Source organism: Homo sapiens, chromosome 5 (genome assembly GCF_000001405.40).
Source record: "Homo sapiens chromosome 5, GRCh38.p14 Primary Assembly".
Lineage (NCBI taxonomy): Eukaryota > Metazoa > Chordata > Mammalia > Primates > Hominidae > Homo > Homo sapiens.
The window spans coordinates 99,622,085-99,645,524 of NC_000005.10; the positions used below are offsets into that span (position 1 = coordinate 99,622,085).

The 23,440-nt window shown below is 34.9% G+C and overlaps 1 annotated feature.

Moving 5' to 3' along the window:
• Positions 17,888-18,088: a silencer, noted in NCBI's record as "peak5369 fragment used in MPRA reporter construct". NCBI's record gives its function as "represses an SCP1 promoter by STARR-seq MPRAs in K562 erythroleukemia cells {active_cell/tissue: K562}" and the evidence as "EXISTENCE:reporter gene assay evidence [ECO:0000049][PMID:32103011]".

Here is a 23,440-nt window from a genome sequence, read left to right on the forward strand (position 1 = left end):
GGAAATTCATGCTGAATGTTAGCCACAAAAGCCAAGCTATTCGAGCATGACACCATTTTTAGTGCAGTGCCAAACTGTATTTCAATTTTCCCTGTGGTCCAATAGTTTCCGTGTCTCTATATTCCTGGGGCCTCACTAACATCCCCCACATCCACCCAAAGGGTTGCAGAGTCACAGTGCTGGCTGGACCCAGTAATGTGGCCAGCCAGGTTTATAACACTTGAGGCCACGCAGCACCCTGTACACCAGGAAACAGGTGGTCTAGCAGATGAAGGAGCCTGCCGCCAGGACAAAGGAAACCAACGCATGCATTCTCCCAAGTCTGAGAATAAACTGCCTGATGCTGCTGCCACTGGCAACAGCCCCACCCCCACCCAGCAGAGGAACCACCACACACCTATGTGCCCTGTCTAGGGGCTCAGAGCTGGCCCAAACTGAGCTAGGACTCAACTGAGCTGTGCAGGAACAGTGATGGTCATCAGCTCCGGGAATTCAGAACCTTTGGCGGAGCATTTTTTTCACCTTCTCTACCTCCACAACCTCCTGGATAAACAGGATAAAAAATTGGGCTTCCTTACAGAAGGTTTTTCTCTAGAGACTGTGGAAAGAGTAAAATCTTGCCTATTGTCTGTGATAAAATGTCTACAAAAACAAAAAGCATGGAATTGATGCCAACAGCCTTAAAATCATGAGTAGGATGATAGTAGAGTAGGGAAATAGTAGAATTAGGAGAGAATATCTATCTTTGCTGACTTTTCTTGAAAAACTAACCAAATATAAAATGGGCTATAGGAAAAATTGCTAAAATGGATTTAAGGTAGAGTGTTGAACATGCTGCAAAAGTTTTAAACAGTGACTAATTCTACTACAAAATACGTGTACTAAATATATTTCCTTGTAATCAAGTGTCCTGAAGACTCTGTAAAGTCTGTGAATGTGTTGAAAGATAATTAGTTTAAAATTTTTATTTACACTTTTTATTTTTCATACTATATTTAATTTTTGTGGGTACAATGCAGGTATATATATATTTATGGGGTGCATGAAATGTTTTGATACTGGCATGCAATGTGAAATAAGTACATCATGAAACATCGGGTATCTATTGCCTCGAGCATTTGTTCATTGAGTTACAAACAATACAATTATTCTCTTTAAGTTATTTTAAAGTGTACCGTTATTATTTACTATTATTGACTACTATCACATTACTGTGCTATCAAAGAGTAGGTCTTATTCATTCTTTCTATTTTTTTGTACCCATTAACCATCCCCACCTCCCCTCCAGCCATCTTTCCCCACCTCTGGTAACCTTCCTTTTCTTTCTATGTCCATGAGCTCAATTGTTTTGATTTTCACATCCCACAAATAAGTGAGAACATGTGATGTTTGTCTTTCTGTACTTGGTTTTCTTCACTTAACATAATGATCTCCAGTTCCATCTATGTTGTTGAAAATTACTGAATCTCATTATTTTTAATGTCGGAACAGTATTCAATTGTGTATAAGTACCAAATTTTTTAAAATTTATCTGTTGATGGACACTAAGTTTGCTTCCAGATATTAGCTATTGTAAACAGCTGCAACAAACATGGGATTACAGATACCTCTTCAATATATTAATTTCCTTTTTTTGGATAAATATCCAGCAGTGAGATTGCTGGATCATGTGGTAGCTCAATTTGCAGTTTTTTGAGAAACCTCCAAACTGTTCTACATAATGGTTGTACGTATTTACATTTCCACCAACAGTGTATGAGATTTCCCCTTTCTCCACATTTTTACCAGCATTTGTTATTGCCTGTCTTTTAGATATAAGTCATCGTAACTGGGGTGAGACAATATCATTCATCAAAGATACTGGCCTGTAGTTTTCTTTCTTTTTTGATATGTCTTTTTCTGGTTTTGGTATCAGGGTAATTTTGGCCTCATAGAATGAGTTTGGAAGTATTCCCTCCTCTTCTATTTTTCAGAATAGTTTCAGTAGGATTGGCATTAGTTTTTCTTTAAATGTTTGGTAGAGTTCAGTGGTGAAACCATCAAGTTCTGGGCTTGTCTTTACTGGCACATGTTTTATTACAGCTTCAACAGGTTGCTTGCTATTGGCCTGTTCAGGTTTTAGATTTCTTCCTGGTTCAATCTTGGTAGTTGTATGTATCTAGGAATTTGTCCATTTCTTCAAGATTTTCCAATTTATTCACATAGAGTTGCTCATAGTAGCCACTAATGTTCCTTTGAATTTCTGTAGTATTAGTCGTAATGTCTCCTTTTTCATTTCTGATTTTATTTATTTGGATCTTCTATTTGTTTTTTCATAGTTAGTTTGCTAAAGGTTTGTCAGCTTTGTTTAAGTTTTCAACCCACTTTTTGTTTAATGGATCTTTTGTATGTTTTTATTGAAATTTTATTTATTTCTGCTATAATCTTTATTATGGCTTTTCTTCTATTAATTTGATTTTTTGTTAGCTCTTGCTTTTCTAGTTCTTTAAGATGCATTGTTGGATTGCTTATTTGAAGTTTGTCTTCAGTTTCGAAGCCATTTATAGCCATAAACTTCCCTTTGGGTACTGCATTTGCTGTATCCCATAGGTTTTGGTATGTCATATTTCCATTATCATTTCTTTCAAGATATTTTTCAACTTCCTTCTTAATTTCCTCGTTGATCTACTGGTCATTCAGGAGCATATTGTTTGGTTTCCATGTATTTGTATAGTTTCCAAAACTCCTCTTCTTATTAATTTTTAGTTTTATTCCATTGTAGTTCATGAAAATGCTTGATATTATTTTAAATTTTTGAATGTTTATGATACTTGTTTTGTGACCTAACATATGGTCTAGCCTTGAGAATGATCCATGTGCTGAGAAAAAGAATGTGTATTTTGCAGCCCTTGCATGAAATGTTCTGTAAGTATATATTAGATCCATTTGGTCTATTGTGCAGATTACATGTGATGTTTGTTGATTTTCTGTCTGGAAGGCCTGTCCAATGCTAAAAATGGGGTATTGAAGTCTCCAGCTATTATTGTATTGAGTCCTTTCTATCTCTTTAGCTCTAACAATATTTTATTTCTATATCTGGATGCTCCAGTGTTGGGTGCATATATATTTAAAATAGTCATATTCTCTTTCTGAATTGACCCATTTTTCATTATAGAGTGACCTTCTTTGTCTCTTCTCATAGTTTCATCCTGAAATCAATTCTGTGTAAGCATACTGATGCCTGTTTGTTTTTGGTTTCCATTGGCATGTAATACCTTTTTCCATACCTTAATTTTTATTCTATGTGTCTTTACAGGTGATGTGTTTCTTGTAGGCAACATATCAATAGTTCTCATTTTTTCATCCATTCAGCTAGTTTATGTGTTTTGATTAGAAAGTTTAGTACATTTCATTTAATGCTATCATTGATAAGTAAGGACTAACTCCTGCCATGTTTTTATTTGTTTTCTGGTTGTTTTGTGATCTTTTTATTTCTTTTTTTTTATTCCTATCTTCCTCTACTGAAGGTGATTTTTTTTCTGGTGATATGATTTAGTTTCTTGCTTTCTATTTTATTTTTTATTGAGACAGAGTCTCACTCTGTTGCTCAGGCTAGAGTTCATTAGTGTGATCTCAGCTCACTGCAACCTTCACCTCCCGGGTTCAAGTGATTCTCATGCCTCAGCCTCCTGAGTAGCTGGGATTATAGGTGTGTGCCACCACACCTGGCTAATTTTTATATTTTTAGTAAAGACAGGGATTCACCATGTTGTCCAGGCTGGTCTTAAACTCCTGAGCTCAGGTAATCCACCCATCTCCCAAAGTGCTAGGATTACAGTGTGAGCCACAGTGCCCAGCCTTGCTTTTTATTTTTTCTGTTTCCATTGTATGTTTTTTTTTTAAATTTTGTTTTGAGATTATCATGAGATGAGGCTTGCAAATGCAATCTTATAACCAGTTATTTTAACTTGATAACATTTTTAACACTATTTGTATAAACAAAAAAGCAAAAAGATAACCAAGAAAAACTTGCTTTAACTTTGTCCCCCAACTTTTTAAACTTTTGTTGTTTCTATTTATCTCTTACTCTAATGACTATGTCTTGAAATGTTGTTATACTTATTACTTTGGATTAGTTCATCATTCAATCTTTCTATTTAGGATAAAACTTGTTTACAGACCACAGTACCAATGTCATAATGTTCTGTGATTTTCTGTGTACTTACTATTACCATTGAATTTTGTACCTTCAGGTGATTATTTATTTCTTGTTAATTTCTATTTCTTTCAGGTTGAAGTACTTACTCTCTTTAGCATTTCTTGTAGGGTGTGTCTGGTATTGATGAAATCCTCAGCTTTTGTTTGTCTGGGACATTTCTCCTTCATGTTAGAAGAACATTTTTGCCAGATATACCGTTCTAGAATAAAAGATGTTTTTTTCTTCCGCTCTTTAAACATTTCATGCCACTCTCTCCCGTCATAAGATTTCCACTGAAAAGTCTACTGCCGGATCAATTAGAGCTCCATTGTATGTTATTTGTTTCTTTTCTCTTGCTGCTTTTAGGATCCCTTCTTCATCCTTGACCTTTGGGAGTTTGATTATTAAATGCCTTGATGTAGTCTTCTTTGGGTTAAATCTGCTTGGTGTTCTGTAACCTTCTTGTACTTGGATATTAATATCTTTCTCTAGGTTTGGGAAGTTCTCTTATTATTGTTTTGAATAAACTTTCTATCCCTGTGTCTTTCTCTACCTCCTCTTTAAGGCCAGTAACTCTTAGATTTTCTCTTTTGAGGCTATTTTTTTAGATCCTGTAGTCATGCTTCATAGTTTTCTTATTCTTTTTTCTTTTGTATCCTCTGACTGTGTATTTTCAAATAGCCTATCTTCAGGCTCACTAATTCTTTCTTCTGCTTGATCCATTTTGCTATTAAAGGACTCTTATGCATTCTACAGTATGCCAATTGCATTCATTAACTCCAGAATTTCTGCTGCATTATTTTCAATGTTTTTAATCTCTTTGTTAACCTTAGCTGATAGAATTCTGCCTTTCTTGTCTCTTATCTTGAATTTCTTTGAGTTTCCTCAACACAGGTATTTTGAATTCTCTGTCTGAAAGATGACATATTTCTGTTTATCCAGGAGATTTCCAGGATCTCTGTTTCTCCCTGGTGCCTTATTCGTGCATTTGGTGTGTTTGTTTTTTCCTGGATGGCGTTGAAGCCAGCAGATGTTCTTCCATGTGTGGGCATTGAATAGTTAGATATTTATTGTAGTGTTCACTATCTGGGCTTATTTTTTATCCACCCTTATTGGGAAGGTTTTCCAGATATTTTCAAGGACTTGAGTTTTGTGATCTAAGCTATTTCTGCTTTAAAGAGCACCCCAAACCCAATAATGTTGTTGTTCTTGCAAACTCAGAGATGCACCACCTTGATGGCCTTGAAGAGTATCCAGGAAAGTTCTCTGAATTACCAGGCAGAGACTCTTTTTCTCTTCCTTTACATTATGTCGAACATATAGAGTCTCTCTCTCTCTCTCTCTCTCTCTCTTTCTGTTCTGAGCCACCTAAAGCTGGGGGTGGAGTGACACAAGCACCCCTGTGGCCACCACCTCTATGACTGACTGGATTAGACCTGAAGCCAGCACAGCACTGGGTCTCACAGAAGGCCTGATGTACCCACTCCCTGGCTACTGCCTACGTTCACTCAAGGCCCTGGGGCTCTATAATTAACAAGTGGCAAAGCCAGATAGACTTGTGTCTTCCCTTCATGGGGGGCGAGGTCCCCCAAGCCCCAGATGAGTCCAGAAGTGTCATCTGGGAATCACGGATTACAGTCAAAGATCTTAGAAGACTACTTGGTATTCTATTGTATTGTGGCTGAGTGGGCACTCAAACCACAAGACTCAGACCTTCCCACTCTTTCCCTACCCCTCCTTTTGCCAACGGCAGAGGAGCCTCCTCCTGTAGCCACTGCCACCCCAGGCCACAAGGAATACTGTCAGACTACCAACCATGTTCCCTTAAGGCCCAAGGTCTCTTAAGTTGGCTTGTGGTGAATGCTGCCTGGCCTGAGACTCACCCTTCAGGGCAGTGGGCTCCCCTCTGACCCAGGCAGGGCATGTCCAGAAATGCCATCTGAGAGTCAAATCCTGGAATCAGGGACCCAAGAGCCCATTTGGTGTTCTACCCCACTGTGGCAGTATTGTTAACTAAGGTGCAAGACAAAAATCCCCTTTACTTTTCCCCCTGATTTTCTCAAGCAGAAGGAGTTTTGCCCCATAGCCACCATTGCTGCTAATATGCTGAGTCTCACCTGAAAAGTCATCAAGTCTCAGAGACTCTCCCAAGGCCCTTAATGTAGTACCTAGGTATCACTACCGGTTATTCAGGGCCCAGGGCTCTTTAGTTGGTGAATGATGAATGCCGGCAGGACTGTTTTTTTCCTTTAAGGCAGCATCCTCTCTTCTGGCCCAGGGTGTGTCTAGAAGTGTCATCTGAGAGCTAGGGGCTAGAGTGGAGCCTCATTACTCTGACTGTTGCCCTATCCTGCTGTGGATGAGCTAGTATCCAAGATGCAAGACAAAGTCCTCCCCACTCTTCCCTCTCCTCTTCTCAAGTGGAAGAATAAGATCTCTCTTGGATCTGTGAGCTGTGCAGCCTGTTGTTACAGGTGGAGTGATACTGCTAGAATTAGTGATTCGTTTTTGGCTAGGGCTGGTTTAAATGCTCCCTCTGTGTGAGAGCATCAGCTAAGTTTGATCTGGTTTTCCTTCCTGTTCTAATAGCACAGCACTGAGTTCAATGCCTCATAAAGGGTGGGTTCTCTCTCCCCCAGTGCCCAGATATTCTGAGCACCTTGCTGCTGCTGCCTGGGGTGGGCATAAGTTTCATGATCAATTCATATAAAATACGGTCTTTGGTAGCCTATTGTCCATCCTATTTCTGTATTCCTGAACTCCTAGTAATGTCTGAAAGAAAGATTTCTGAAAACTCACTGGTCACAAAATTGTTGAAATAGAATTTTAATAGCACTTGCCATAAATCAAACTAAATGTTACTAAATTATAGGAAAGTTGAAATTTTGTATTTAAACCTGAGTGTAGGGATGCCTTTTTTCCCCTGCTTAAGTTACTGAAACCCGTGAGTATCTTCAATTTTCTTCTACACTGGCTTGCATTTTGTACTCCTGTCCTTTTACATTCTCCTGAGACCTGGTAATCTGAATCAACTTCGCATCTGACGAAATAAGAAAAAATTCCTCTGGCCCACTCTGAGTTGTATCCTTAGCCCTGTAAGTTACTGGAAAAACAAAAACAAACAAATAAAATCAAGTAATAGCAGATGACTTATTGCATTAAATAATTTCCTTTTTTATTTGATGTCCTTTTTTTCTCACTTCTCTATTTAATGGACAAATAATGACTCCCACTTTAGTGATAGGCTTATTTGCACTTTAGGCTAATAACGAATGACAATATAGCATGGATAAAAGTAGTTCCTAAATTAATTAGATATTTTATTTGGGATAAAACCAGAGGCCAATTAACATATCAAGTCTGTGGTTTTGTAATGAATAAAAGTCTAATTTTACTATATTTAAAAATAATAACAAGGTAATTATAAAGACATTGCAGTGCTTTGTTCCCTTTTCTGATATTTTTGGTATATGAAACAAGAGAGACTAAGTAAATGTGGTTTCAATTCAAGATCATGTCACTTTGATGTATATGTTTTTCACAGTTACTGCAATCAAGTGTATTTACTTTTCACTTACGTTTAGAAATGAATAATATATTGCTAAGCATGCATTTCAATGTAGTTTTAAAGATCACATTTTAGTCATGTGAAATTTGATCTCATTTCTCTTTTTTCTCTCTGTAGCAAAATTATGATTTTCTAAGGATCAATGTTTAGGAACTGACCCTACTGCTATCTAACTCTACCTCCTAAACAAGGATTTCAAAATAGCTTCTTTTTCAACTTATAAAATATAAAAATAGTTTCTTATCCTATCTCAGAAAATCTACCCCTTTTTAAAAAGTGAACTACTATTGAAATATGGCGTACATACAAAAAAGTACACAAATCACAATGTTCAGTTCAATAGATTGTCTCAAAGTTAATATGCTGTGGAACCACAAGATTGATAAGAAATAGAAAATTAATGTACCCACATGTCCCTTTTTGTGCATTTCCAGTCATTATCACCCTTCCCAAAAGCACTCAGTATTATGACTTTTATTACCATTGTATAGATTTGCCAGTTTTCATGATTTATCTGTCTGTCTGCTTTCATTTAAAGTTATGGTTGGGAGATTCACTCATACCATTGATTTAGAAAACGTTCACTCATTTTCACTAATGTGCATAATTCCATCGCCTTGTGTATTACTCTGTTTTCACAATGCGGATAAAGACATACTTGAGACTGGGAAATTTACAAAAGAAAGAGTTTTAATGGATTTACAGTTCCACATGGCTGAGGAAACCTCACAATCATGGTGGAAGGAAAGGAGGAGCAAGTCACGACTTACATGAATGGCAGCAGGCAAAGAGAGAGAGCTTGTGCAAGGGAAGCTCTCTCTCTTTTTAAAACCATCAGATCTTGTAAGACTTATTCACTATCATGAGAATATCATGAGAAAGACCCACCCCCATCATTCAATTACCTCCTACTGAGTCCCTCCCATGACACGTGGGAATTGTGGGAGTTCCAATTCAAGATGAGATTTGGGTGGGGACACAGCCAAACCATATCACTTTAGTATAATTATAGTGTTATCACTTTACTTGATATGGTCACACTTTTTATTTTTCTCATTGTGATTAGTGTGTTACTTTTTTTCATCCTAGTTACTAAGTTGTATTGAATAATAAATATAAATTTACAAAAACAAAGTCTCGGTACTATGACTTGAATATGATCCAGGTAGATGTCATTAATCAAACATTTACTATGTTCTTAAAATAAACCAGACAGTATTCTAGGCTCTAGGCATTAAAATGTTGAATTGGACTAATATTCTTAGAACCAAAATTATGAGGAAGAGAGACAAATAACATATAAGTAAATAACAAAATATCTAATAGAGACAATATTATGAATAACACAAAGCATTTTTATCAGTGAGTTAGGGAGAGTATTAAACATAAGATGCAATTTATTTTAGGCAAAACATATTTTGGTAAATAAAAGTTTATAAAAAAGTTTAATAAAAAGTTTGTAAAGTTAAACATCACTCCTAATACATCCATTAATTGCAACAGAAAAAATATCGGAAATTTATCATTTTGAGACTGAAGTCTCTGAATTTTCTTTTGACCTTTGGGGGCACTCAGACTTAGAAAAATTCAGATGTATTCTATAAGATTTAATTGAATTTTGGACTAGAATTTAAAATATTAACTAAAATGTATGCGTATTTTTGTATTTATAATTGTTCACTTACATTAGGTTATTCCTTGGATACAAATAAATTTTTACCCTCCAAAATTATGAGCCAATTTATTTTTAGTGTTTTTGCTTAAAATCTAGATGTTTTAAATAAATGTTTTCAATGATCAACATGCCAATGGCTCACCATTAAGTATACATACACACATATATGTGTGTACGTGTATATGTGAAATTTCTATTGAGTTAACCTTATAATAATTTCTAAGTCTTTATAGTAATGTTTTGTTTATAGGCATAATTTTCAGATTTTATTTTTTTATTTTTATTTTTTAACTTTCTGAGTGGAGATTTTATTTAATTGTTGGTTTAAAATGCAATAAGAATTTATACTTTTTTAAACTTTTATGTTAAGTTCAGGGATACATGTGCAGGTTTGTTGTATAGGTAAACTTGTGTCATGGGGTGTTGTTGTTACACAAATTATTTCATCACCTAGGTATTAAACCTAGTACTCTTAGTTATTTTCCCTCATCCTCTCCCTCCTCCCACCCTCCACCCTCTGACAGGCCCCAGTCTGTGTTTGTCCCTTCTATGCGGCTATGTGTTCTCATTATTTACCTCCCACTTATAAGTGAGGACATGTGGTATTTGGTGTACTGTTTCTGTGTTAATTTGCTAATAATGATGGCTTCCAGTTCCAACCGTGTCCCTGCAAAGGACATTATCTTATTCTTTTTTATGACTGTATAGTGTTCAATGGTGTATATATACTGCATTTTCTTTATTCAATCTATCATTGATGGACATTTAGGTTGATTCCATGTTTTTGTTATTGTGAATAATGCTGCAATGAACATACATGCGCATGTGTCTTTATGGCAGAAAAATTTATATTCCTTTGGGTATATACCCAGTAATGGGATTGCTAGGTTGAATGGTATTTCTGTCTTTAGGTCTTTGAGGAATCACCACACTGTCATCCACAAAAGTTGAACTAAATTACACTTCTATCAACAGTGTATAAGCTTTCCTTTTTCACTGCGTGTTCACCAGCATCAGTTATTTTTTGACTTTTTAACAACAGCCATTTTGACTGGTGTTAGATAGTGTCTCATCGTGGTTTTGATTTGCATTTCTCTAATGACCAGTGATGTTGAGCTTTTTTTTCATATGATTGTTGGCTGCATGTATATCTTCTTTTGAAAAGTGTCTGGTCATGTTCATGTCCTTTGCCCGCTTTTTCAATGGGGTTGATTGTTTTTTCTTGAAAATTTAAGTTCCTCATGAATGATGGATATTAGACCTTTGTCAAATGCATAGGTTGCAAAAATTTTCTCCCATTCTGTAGGTGGTCTGTTTACTCTGATGATAGTTTCCTTTGCTGTGCAGAAGCTATTTTGCTTAATTAAATTCCATTTGTCCATTTTTGCTTTTGTTGCAATTGCTTTTGGTATCTCCATCATGAAATCTTTGCCCATACCCATATCCTGAATGGTATTGCCTAGGTTGTCTTCCAGGGTTCTTATATGCTGGGGTGATACATTTAAATCATTAATACCTCTTCAGTTCTTTTTTGTATATGGTGTAAGGAAGGGGTCCAGTTTTAATCTTCTGCATATGGCTAGCTAGTTATTCCAGCACCATTTAATGAATAGGGAATCCTTTCCCCATTGTTTGTTTTTGTCAGGTTTGTCAAAGGTCAGATAGTTGTAAGTGTGTGGTCTTATTAATGGATTCTCCATTCCTTTCCATTGGTCTATATGTCTGTTTTTGTACCAGTACCATACTGTTTTGGTTACTGTAGTCCTGTGGTATAATTTGAAGTCAGGTAGCATGATGCCTCCAGCTTTGTTCTTTTTGCTTGGGATTGCTTGGCTATTTGGGCTATTTTTTTTTTGCCCCATATCAATTTTATAATAGCTTTTACTAGTTCTGTGAAGAATATAAATGGCAGCTTAATAGGAATAGTATTGGATCTATAAATTGCTTTGGGCAGTATGGCCATTTTAAGGATATTGATTCTTCCTATCTAAGAACATGAAATGTTTTTTCTTTCAGTTCTGTCATCTCTGATTTCTCTGATCAATGGCTTGTAGTCCTTCTTGTCTCTACAAGAAGACAAGGAAAGGGAGATCTTTTACCTCTGTAGTTAGCTGTATTCCTATGTATTTTATTCTTTTTGTGGCAATTGTGAATGAGACTTCCTTCCTGATTTGGCTCTTGGCTTGACTGTTGTTGTTGCTGTATAGGAATGTTAGTAATTTTTGCAAATTGATTTTGCATCCTGAGACTTTGCTGAAACTGTTTATCAGCTTAAGAAGCTTTGGGGCTGAAACTATGGGATTTTCTAGATATAGGATCATGTCATCTGCAAACAGGGATAATTTGACTTCCCTTCTTACTATTTGAATGTCCTTTACTTCTTTCTCTTTTCTGATTGCCCTGGCCAGAACTTCCAATACTATGTTGAATAGTAGTAGTGAGAAAGGGCATCCTTGTCTTTTGCCAGTTTTCAAAGGGAATGCTTCCAGTTTTTACCCATTCAGTATGATGTTGGCTGTGGGTTTGTCATAGATGGCTCTTATTATTTTGAGGTATGTTCCTTCAATACCGAGTTTATTGACAGTTTTTTTTAACATGAATGGATTTTGAATTTTATTGAAGGCCTTTATGCACCTATTGAGATAATTATGTCATTTTGTCGTTAGTTCTGTTTATGTGATGAATCAAATTTATTGATTTGTGTTTGTCGAGTCAGCTTCACATACCAGTGATGATCATGGTCTAGATTTTCTAGTTTATGTGCATAGAGGTGTTTATAATATCCTCTGATGTTTGTTTGTATTTCTATGGGGTCAGTGGTAATATCCCCCTTGTCATTTATGATAGTTTTTATTTGAATGTTCTCTTTTCTTATTAGTCTAGCTGGCAGTCTATCTATTTTATTAATTTTTTCAAAAAACCAGTTCCTGGATTCATTGATCTTTTGGATTGTTTTTGTGTTTCCATTTCCTTCAGTTCAGCTCTGATTTCTGTTATTTCTTGTCTTCTGCTAACTTTAGGATTTGTTTGCTCTTGGTTCTCCAGTTCTTTTAGTTGCGATGTTATGTGGTTAATTTGAGATCTTTCTAAACTTTTGGATGTGAGCATTTGGTGCTATCAATTTCTCTGTTAATGCTGCCTTAGCTGTGTCCCAGAGATTCTGGTACATTTTATCTTTGTTCTCATTAGTTTCAAAGAACTTTTTAATTTCTGCCTTCATTTCATTATTTACCCGAAAGTCATTCAGGAGCAGGCTATTCGATTTCCATGTAATTGTATGGTTTTGAGTGAATTCCTTTGTCTTGATTTTGAATTTGATTGCACTGTGACTTGAGAGACTGCTTTGATTTCAGTTCTTTTGCATTTGCTGAGGAGGGTTTTATTTCTGATCATGTGATATTTTAGAGTCTGTGCCATGTTGCTATGAGAAGAATGTATATTCTGTTGTGTCAGGGTGGAGAGGTCTGTAGATCTCTATCAGATCTGTTTGATCTAGTGCTGAGTTCAGGTGCTGAATATCTTTGTTAATTTTCTGTCTCAGTGGTCTGCCTAATATTGTCAGTGGGGTGATAAATCTCTCACTATTTTTGTGTGGCACTCTATGTCTCTTTGAAGTTCTCTAAGAACTTGCTTTTTGAATCTGGGTGCTCCTGTGTAGGATGCACATATATATTTAGGATAGATAGATAGATTTTGTTGAATTGCACCCTTTATTAATATGTAATGTCTTTTTTTATTTTTGTTTGTTTAAAGTCTGTTTTTTCAGAAACTAAGATTGCAAGCTCTGCTTATTTCTACTTTCCATTTGCTTGGTAGATTTTTCTCCATCCCTTTATTTTAAATATCTTATACTCTTTGTTAATTTATCTGACATTTCCACCACCTTTACTTTACATTCTAATATACAATGAACAAATGCAAAATAAGATAAAAATGTATATTTTAATAACTAATATATGTTAATAACTAATTGAGGCTCTATTGTATATATATTTTATAACACAATTTGTCTTCCCTTTATTGCCCAGTTTTGGTAATAATAAAAACATACAGATAATTAAAAATGTAGCCTTACCTTCATATTACAAGTAATATTCATCATATTTATTATATCTATGAATTTCATTAGCTGTCTGAGAATTCCCTGAGCTTGCTGACTATTCTGGAATCATAGCTTTGAAAAGAACCTCAAGGGGCTGTATGAGTTAATGAGATTTGGAACTCTTCTTTCAAATTGTTTTATATGTAGTTCTAATGCACCTCAAAATACACTTGTATATTAATTTTTATATACAATAACGTGTAATTTGCATTTTTCAATATATAGTTTAGTGACATCATCTAATAAACTGGCTGATACTCAAAGTGGTTTATATATTTTTGTTTAATTTGATTGGTTATTGCCATTTTTGCTCTAATTTCCAAAATTTTGGATGTTTGTAGTTTTTCCAATTTTTAACTTTTAAATTTGGTTTTAAATTAATAAATTCATATGGTAGTTTTTTGTTCGTCTGTTTGTTTTTACATGTGGGCAATTGTAACTAAATTAACTGAGCTTCTATTATGTGCTCAACATTGATTTCAATGCAGAAAAAAGAAATAAACAAAAAGGGGAGAAAACACTAGCCCTCAATTCAAATTTGCGTCAAGTGTGGGTTTGTTTGTGGATTTGGAGGTGAAGAGGATTAAAGCAGTCGGATAAAATGATTGAAATAGTGGGAAACAAAGACAATAAACCCACTAACAAACACACAATAAAATAAGTCTGCTAATGATAATAGATGCTAAAATAGGATTATGCATTAGGAAGTCACGGGCATATTATCAGATACTAAGTTACTATGTCAGTTTTAAATATTATTACAACTCATGCTACATAATGCAGATTCATTAATTTCCAAAAGTGTTAAATCTATGTCACAGCAATGCAGTGTGATGCTCCATTTCACCAGTATCAATAGCAATAAGAAATAATTATTTTTATTTTGGTATGCTCCTGCTTCTGCTTCTTCCTTTCAATTTGTACAAATTCTGTACATATGACCTCATGGTTTTTCATGTATTAGTGGATACATTATTCATTTTCTTTTTGATGCACTCTTCCAGTATTTATAATTTTCTCCTTGCTATAAAACTTCCACACACAAGATGTTTAATAGAATTGTGTTCTTTTTTATTCTAGTTTTCTTATAGTTTGCAGTGTTGACACATTTAGGAATTAAAACCGTTAGATACTCCTTAACAAGAAGCAAAGTCAGGTTAAGATGCACTGTTTTAAAACTTGGTAGAGGAAATGGTTTCCTGGACACTCTCAGGGTCTCACCAGTGAGAGCAACATAAACGATAATAAGACTTGGGAAATGCTGACATTGTTCTTTCCTTGATTAAAGATATTCTTCTGTCTTTCATTTATTTAATGTACATGATTTTCTTTTATTGAATGTCTACAATTTCTAATTAGCAGCCTGTCTTTTTCTTGAAATTCTGAAAAGTAGTTTTAGAAATGATACCTCAAACCATAATGTATTAAAAGAGCCAAATCTCTCTAAACTTAAAATGTGTACAGATAGTAAATATGAAGTTTAAGTGAAAGTGTTATTTGATTACTCATTAGGTGGACGGGCTTATAGGCAAGTGTGAGTTAAGATGAAGAGAGAAGCAAGATAAAGAACTTAGGGCAGCAAAGAGGTAATCCAAGCTAGGAAACAAATGTGTAGAATATAAAGTGCAAGCTTTAGAGGGGAAGCAAAAAATCTCCCTACGATTCTCTCCAATCTACTTCATTTAAAAATAAGTGAGATTTGGAGCTCAGGAGTTTGAGACCAGTCTGACCAACATGGTGAAACCCCGTCTCTACTAAAAATACAAGAATTATCTGGGCGTGGTGGTGGGTGCCTGTAATCCCAGCTACACAGGAGGCTGAGGCAGGAGAATCACTTGAACCTGGGAGTCAGAGGGTGCAGTGAGCCGAGATCAGACCATTGCACTCCAGCCTGTATGACAGAGACTCTGTCTCAAAAAAAAAAAAAACAAAGTGAGATATTTCACAAAACTTTTTTAAAAAAGGAAAACAGTAACAACAAAACATTTAGCAAAGTCATAAAGATAATTTCAAATACTTATAAATACAGAGAACAATTACTATAGGCCAGACACAGTGGCCTGCACCTGTAATCCCAGAGACCAGGCGAGAGGATTGCTTGAGTTCCAAATCAACCTGGGTGACAAAGTGAGACCTTGCCTCTACCAAAAAAAAAAAATTATATCTATCTATCTATCTATCTATGAGGTATGAGGAATGTGAAGAAAACATAAAGAAATAGTGGAAGAGGGGAGTCAGCAAAGGGGAAAATACTGAAAGAAAATTATCACTGTTTGAAAATGATTGAGACATTTGATTTCTATAAGTCTTCCTGGGCAGATAAATCACATGTTCCAGCAAGATTTGTTCAAAGGCTAAAGTGACTTTAGGCTGTATTAGCATAAACCTAAATTATAGCAGTCCCATTGAAACTCTGCACTATCAGACTCTTGGAATGTTAGTGCTCAGCTCTACATGCCACCTTTTAATATTACCTAGGTAAAAATGAATATGAACAGAGTGTTTCCCAGACAGGGTAGGATCTAGATTAAATGATATCTGAAGAACAGTTAAAAAAGAGATATTTAGTCTAAAAAATACTTAAAGGAAACACAAATTTTTCCCAAATCCAAAATGTCTACTCTTCCAATGAAGAAAACCTCATTATTATTATTATTTCTAAAGACAGACTTTAAAAGAATATGTGACTTTGAATAAATAAAAGGAATCTCTTAAATCCTCAGCGAGACTGATACAAGTAATCCCAGAAAGTCACAATGATTAACATTTATAGAGCCTTCAAAGGTTTTTGGAAAATATCTTAGATTATTTAAAATTCATGCAAAGAGAATCTATAGAGAAGATAGATAACTTTGGAAAGAATTGGCTAAAATTTTTAAAATAATAATGATGGTAGCAGAAATGTCCTCTTTTTAACAGAAAATGATTTTTAAATCTAAATGAGAATGATAGCCTGGAGAAATTTAAGTTCTGTCCTTTAGTAGGTTCAAATAGAAAAGCTAAACCTAAACATAAGCTGCATTTTCATTGTTAGTTCAGAGACACCAAATCAAGATAAGGTAACAAAAGCCCTGAAAGATATCGATTTAGTCCCTACAAGTTAATTTAAAGATAAGATGGATAGGAAAAAAAGAGCTTTAAAAAATAAAATAAAACAAAAAATTCTAGTTTGCCCTTTATTTGTACTTTCTGAATTTAGAACTGTAGAATATTAAAATATACATTTTATGTATATATGTAAAATATCAAAATTAGTGTGATTTATGGTTTAAGTTTTACACAAATAATATTAATTAAAACTTGCAATAGTTCATTTAATTCAACAAACTGACACACACTGGGCACACAGTATATGCAATTTTGTAGGCGCTTTGCTGAATGAGTTCACATTTTATGAGAGAGAACAAGTTTTTTGGCTTACAATTTTTTTAATGTTAATGTCAAAGTTTTATAAAAGGACTACGTGCTGTAGTTTTCAATAATTTTGGACAAAATGTTATCCTTACTTCACTCTTTTGGTCAATATTTGAAAGATAAAAATCCTGTGGAAATTTGTCCACTTATAAGCCTCTTTAGGTAAATGCAAAATTTATTGGACAAATCAACACTCATGTACATCAAGATAATATTGTTTCTCTAGTAACTGTAATTATATTCAATTGAGAAAATAAAGGTAGTTTAAGGTACCTTTCCTTCAGGGAAGAAGGAACTGTTACAAAGACTAAATCCTAGGGTACAGAAGTTTGAACAAACTGTTGAGTCTGAAAAAGTTGGGCACAACTTAAAAATAGACTTGGTATGTGATGTAAAGGTTAAAGCTTATTCTGTAATTGTTGGTTTGTCACTATGTGAATAAAGATAGAACAGTAACACAATCTATTTTGCTTAAAGTTCTTTCTGGTGTGTGAGATATTATACTTGAAGAAAATAGGACAAGAAAAATTGTGCCCCAGTTAGGAGATCTTTCTTTGATCTAATATAGAAATGTTTAAGTCTATAATAAAACAGGACAATAGAAATTATAAAATTAGATGCATTTTCAATACAGGTAGAGGCACCACTAAAAATAATTAAGGGGTAATGTATGAGAGCATTGCAAATAAAATTATCTGGGAAGCAAACTGTGAGACGGTTTAGTGTTCAGTGTGTTTATTAAAAACCACCCATGGTATAAATATCTTTAGAAAGGGAACAGAGGAAGCAGAAATGGGCAGTGGGATAAATCAATTTGTGATACAGTCCAAGCAGCTTCTACAGACCAAATAGGGAGTTTTTAGAATTGCTTAAATGCCTGGTTAGAGTTGCTCTGCACTTGGCTAAAGAGGCAAGTCTGTATACACCCATGCAATTTGTCACTGGTTGTGGGCTACATCCCCAACACTATGACCTTGGCTGAGACAGCTCTCTGAAGCCAAAGCAAACTTCTAAGAAGGGGCCAACCCTGAAAACTGTCTATTGACAGTGTTCTTATCAGCTAGAAAACAAGTATGTCTTTGCAGAGAGATTTGGGAAGTTGAACATTCCCAAGTTCATCACAGTCAGTGTAAAGAAAGAGCATCCAAAGTTAATTCCAATGTTTACATTTTGGGAAAGGATTCTAGAGTGATTTAGCCAAAGAGGTTTGTAGAAAGAACAGCAGTGTGTTGGTGGAGAGGTGTGTCTGACCTAGATAATTCAGTTGCAAACTTATTGAATTTCACTGAATTTTTCTAGGTAAAGCTGTTAGAGTACAGTACTTAGAAGGACCTTGCCATGGGCCACATCTTTACAAATGGCAGTTAATTTTTTAAAATAAATCAGTATTCAGACCTGTATAAATATTAATATTTTCTTTGTGAGAAAATATTAATGGATGGAGTCAATAATGTCTTCCTTATTTAAAACAATACATCAGTTACCACAAACAATAACAGAATTTAATGTCTTTCATATATATGCTCATTTAAGAAATACAAAAGAATGAAATGTCCTGTATTAAGAAACCTAAACAAAATGAAATTACTCAAGGTGGTTTTTTTTTTCTATAAATAGCTTTGGTTTTCCATAGATAATTACAAAATCATCTTCAGGAGTTTCATGCAGAAAGTGACCACTTTTAATGCTTTTTCATGACATTTCATGAGATTTGGCATGATATCTTATAATAACTTCATTTTCCTCACATGAAAAAAAATGAGACTACTGCACAGTAGGAACGGGCAGTAAATCTCACAAGAACTCAGTAGCTTGGCATTTATTGCCCATCGCTTCCTTTTGATTTAGCAGGTCTGCCCTTCAGTATTTCTTTTCTCCAAATACTTGCCCAATTTTGTTTTTAAAACAATTTATATTGGTGGCACATTTCACAGCCTTTGGTAGTTTGTGGCATAAGTCATTGTGTCAGAATGATCCCACTCTAGTATATTTAGAGAAACTTCTGGACATCTTTGGTAAAACTCAATTATTTTAAGTGTTTATATCTCCAAGAAAGAAGGGCATGGTACCATCTAGTGATATTCCATGGAGGCAGTTTTTTTTTTTTTTTTTTTTTTAACTGTTGCTATATATTTCACTGTTGGTTTGAAAGAAATGGTGTCTGGAAGTGCACTTGTTGAAATATTTATTCTTTATTTTTTGAACTTGTTGAATAGTATGAATGCTAACCTTGAAATACATGCAGTAAAATATCCAATAATTTTGTATCACAGGTTTGATTTCCAAATTTATAATAGTTACCTGTCTTAAGTCTGCTATATATTGAACTAAAATTTAGGCATAGTTGTGAAGGTTGCTATATTCTGAGTGTACATATTTGTCTCTGTATCTCTAAATTTCCACTGAAGTTGTAATGTGTTTACTGTCAACAGATGACTAATGACTATTCAGCGTTTTTCATTAAATTCTACTGAAATTGTCTCAGTAATAGAAGTTGATTTTACTTAAACGCAATAGTCCTATTATTTCAAAATTTCAAATAAATTTTTATTAAAAGGTGGCAGTAGCCTCAAGATTTTATCACTAAAAAACACTCTTTACACTATTGGAAACGATTTCTAGATATATTCATCTCAACAAACTTTCTCTCTCATAGTTAAAATTATGTTCTATAATAATGTGCTCTTTTGTAAATATAAAACATGAAGATAAAATAAGAGCAAAATTAGTACCCTTTTTCTTTATTCATTAACTCTACCTCATCACAAAGCCTATCAGGTTTGTTTGTTTCTTAATGGTAAATATGAATTCCGGAATCACATAGAGCACAATTACTTTACATACATACATATCTATATATATTTATAAATTTTTGATATATTACTAAATAATTATCCTGGAAAATGTCCCAAAAGAGTCTGCCAATGACAATAGACCCACTTTAAGATGACTAAAGGAGTATAGGAGTCTGTATACTTAATCCGTTTGTTTTCATATGTAATTTTTACACCATTTGGTTTGATTGATTTGTAAACTGGAGAAAATAACAAAGATAGTAGAATGAAACCAAATATAATTAATTGTGTGATGCTGTCTCTTAGGACACACGATGTACCTAGTCTATTATGTGGAACTTGGTTAGCCCTAAACTAAAAGTGCTAAACATACCGAAGACTTCCTTCAAACAGCGTATCGATAACCGTGGTTTGCACACTATATTCCATCCTCTGGAAAAACTAAGCTACTACCTGCCATTAACTCTAAACTGCCACATGTAGCCTCATAGCATCATACACTGAGCTATTTAAGCATTTGGGAGAAATATTATCTCATTTAATCTGCACAATAAAAACATAAACAGGCACTATTGTATACATTTTAAGGGTGAGGAAATTGAATCTCAAGTGAAAGCCAAAGCCGTTCTTTGAGTTTTATCTCTTTTGATTCCAAAAAGAGGTGTAGAGTGGAAGATGAAAAATGTACTCAGTTATACCGAGATCAAAATATTGGCTCCATTATCATAAAGTGGACATTTTGATAAAATCTCTTGTTTTTTCCTCTGTAACATCTATACAACCCCCAAAAGTACAGAGTACAACCCCCAAAAGAATTTAAAACAAGACTTCTGTTCCTATCTAGCTTATAGGGAGTAGACAGTGAAAAAAAAAGTGAATGCATACAACAAAGAGATAATTTTAGACACTGAGAAATGTTGTGTAGATTATACTAGTTTACATCAAGGAAAACATCTGTGACAGAATGACATGAGTCAAGACCTAAATAGCCCCAAAATCCAATCATGAACTTACTTGGCGAGTATCACTCCAGGCAAGGAGATTAGGAATTGCAAAGTTCCTAGTGGGAATGGGCAAAAATGATTCATGTACGTAATGAGCATGCAGAGAGAATCAAGAAAAACACGATAAGGGAAATAATGTTTAAAAAAACAACAACAACAAAAAAACCTTTGAGAAGTTCACCCAGAGGAGGGAGATGCCAGTTCAGATTTTGAAGAACTGGAGCAAATTCATGTTAATATCTGAAATATTCTGGAAACAAGAAGTAGACAGCAACATCTGAATATAATTATATATTAGGGGATTGGAAAAATAAATTGAAGGCACACAGTAAAGAACTACAAATTCCAGAAGTAAGCCAGTGAATGATTTGAAGAAGTGTCTGATATGAACAGAACTGTGATTTTGAAATGTTAATCCAGCAGCTGCAGGTGTAAATGATTGGGTGGGTTGAGGGCTGGATGGAAAATAAGTATACTTTTAAAAATTGGGCCTGGCGCAGTGGCTAACGCCTGTAATCTCAGCACTTTGGGAGGCCATGGCGGGCGGATCAAGAGGTCAGGAGATCAAGACCATCCTGGTTAACACGGTGAAACCCCATCTCTACTAAAAATACAAAAAATTAACTGGGCGTGGTGGCATGCGCCTGCAGTCCCAGATACTCGGGAGGCTGAGGCAGGAGAATCGCTTGAACCCGGGAGGCGGAGCTTGCAGTGAGCCGAGATCGCACCACTGCGCGCCAGCCTGGGCGACAGAGCAAGATCTCAAAGTAAATAAGGAAATAAATACGAACATTGAATCAGCCTGTGGGAAAATGATAAGTATAGTTATCTAGAGCACTGGTAATGAGAATGAAAGGGAGATGACATATTAGAAAGCATTTAAAGGTATAATTAAATATGACTGGGTATGAGAGTTGGGTGTGATTTTTTTAGAAGACAGCATGGAGAAGGCTGTTAAATAACAAGGCAAAACAAACAAAATCCCTACGGAACAACAACAACAGCAACAAAAGAAAAACCAACAACAACGCAGTTCAACCATGAAGGACAGTCAAGGGTGAAGTACTCTATTAGGTAATCCAAAGGCAGAAAAGAAGATGCTACTTTTGGCAATTAAGAGGTTGTTGATGGCCGGCGCGGTGGCTCACGCCTGTAATCCCAGCACTTTGGGAGGCCGAGGCGGGCGGATCACGAGGTCAGGAGATCCAGACCAGCCTGGCTAACATGGTGAAACCCCGTCTCTACTAAAAATACAAATAAATTAGCCTGGCGTGGTGGTGGGCACCTGTAGTCCCAGCTACTGGGGAGGTGAGGCAGGAGAATGGCGTGAACCCGGGAGGCGGAGCTTGCAGTGAGCCGAGATCGCACCACTGCACTCCAGTCTGGGCGACAGAGCGAGACACCGTCAAAAAAAAAAAAAAAAAAAAGAGGTTGTTGATAATATTTAATGCAGCAAATTTAATTATATGCTATAAGAGGACTAGGGTGATATGGAGAGAAGAGTATGGAAGAAGATAATTGATGGGTAATTGTTCTATTAAGCCAATGATTGTGTCACAGACAAAAATGTTACAATGGCTAGTGGAAATGCGTAGGAAAGACATTAAGGGTGTCACTCATTTAAATTAGAGAGTAGGTGAAATAGCTTTCTTATATCGTCACAATTCTTCATGATGGGACATAAAACAGGATTGTCAAATATGAATGTATGTAAAAGAATCATATAAAATCCAGAACTGTGGCATTAAAGGTTCAGTTTAGAGCTTACTAAAATTAAAGAAGATTTTCCAGAGATTAACTTACAGGTGTGTGATGTTCTATGGGGGTTGACTGAAATCCGTTGCATGCTAAAATTAGGGATAATAATAATGAATTTGAGAATATAATTAAGTTTGAATTCAATAGCTGGTTTAATTTATTAATTTAGTTTATGTATCATTTCATTAAAATAATGAATAATAAATTAGTATAAAGATGAAAAATTATATTTCTATCAAATGACAGAACCAATATTTTATATTTCCTCCCAATACCTTATCCATATGTAGTTTTTAATTGTTATCTTTATTACATATATTCCAAAATCATTATTCTGCTGACACTTAACTCAGTAGTGTGCATGTGTATGTCTCTTACAAACTTATAAAGGGCTCCCCATTGCCATCTGGTTGACAGGTTGATCAAACACGAAATGTTTATTTTGGAGTCAGCTTTCTTTCAGCTTTACTGGCATTGACTAATCTTAGGTCTTCTTTCCCAAGATACAAACTTTGAGATGCAGGTTTGTGGGCAGTAAGTCTGTTGGGAAGTAACAACACATGTAAGGGAGAGATAAAAGCAGGATTGAGAAGAAAAAATAATTTTAATGCAGTTTCAACAGCCTTCAGTTGACATCATGAAATATGAAGGTGAGATGGTCTTTCAGCTTTGTCCCAACTGAAACAAGGAGAAGGAATCTTTATAAATTATTTTCTTATTTACTCAAGATTGACTTGTATTACATATTTATGAATAAACTTAGTAATATACCATAAACACATATTTGCACAGTTTTATAAGATTAACTGTTGTGCTTCCTTTTCTGCCTTTTTTATAAGGAGATAATATTATTTTTTATAATTTGCTTAGTTTATTCAATGTAAGTACTTGTCCTTTGCTTTGGGGAGATTTCTAGTTAGATTTATTTCTGCTTTGGAATATGTCTC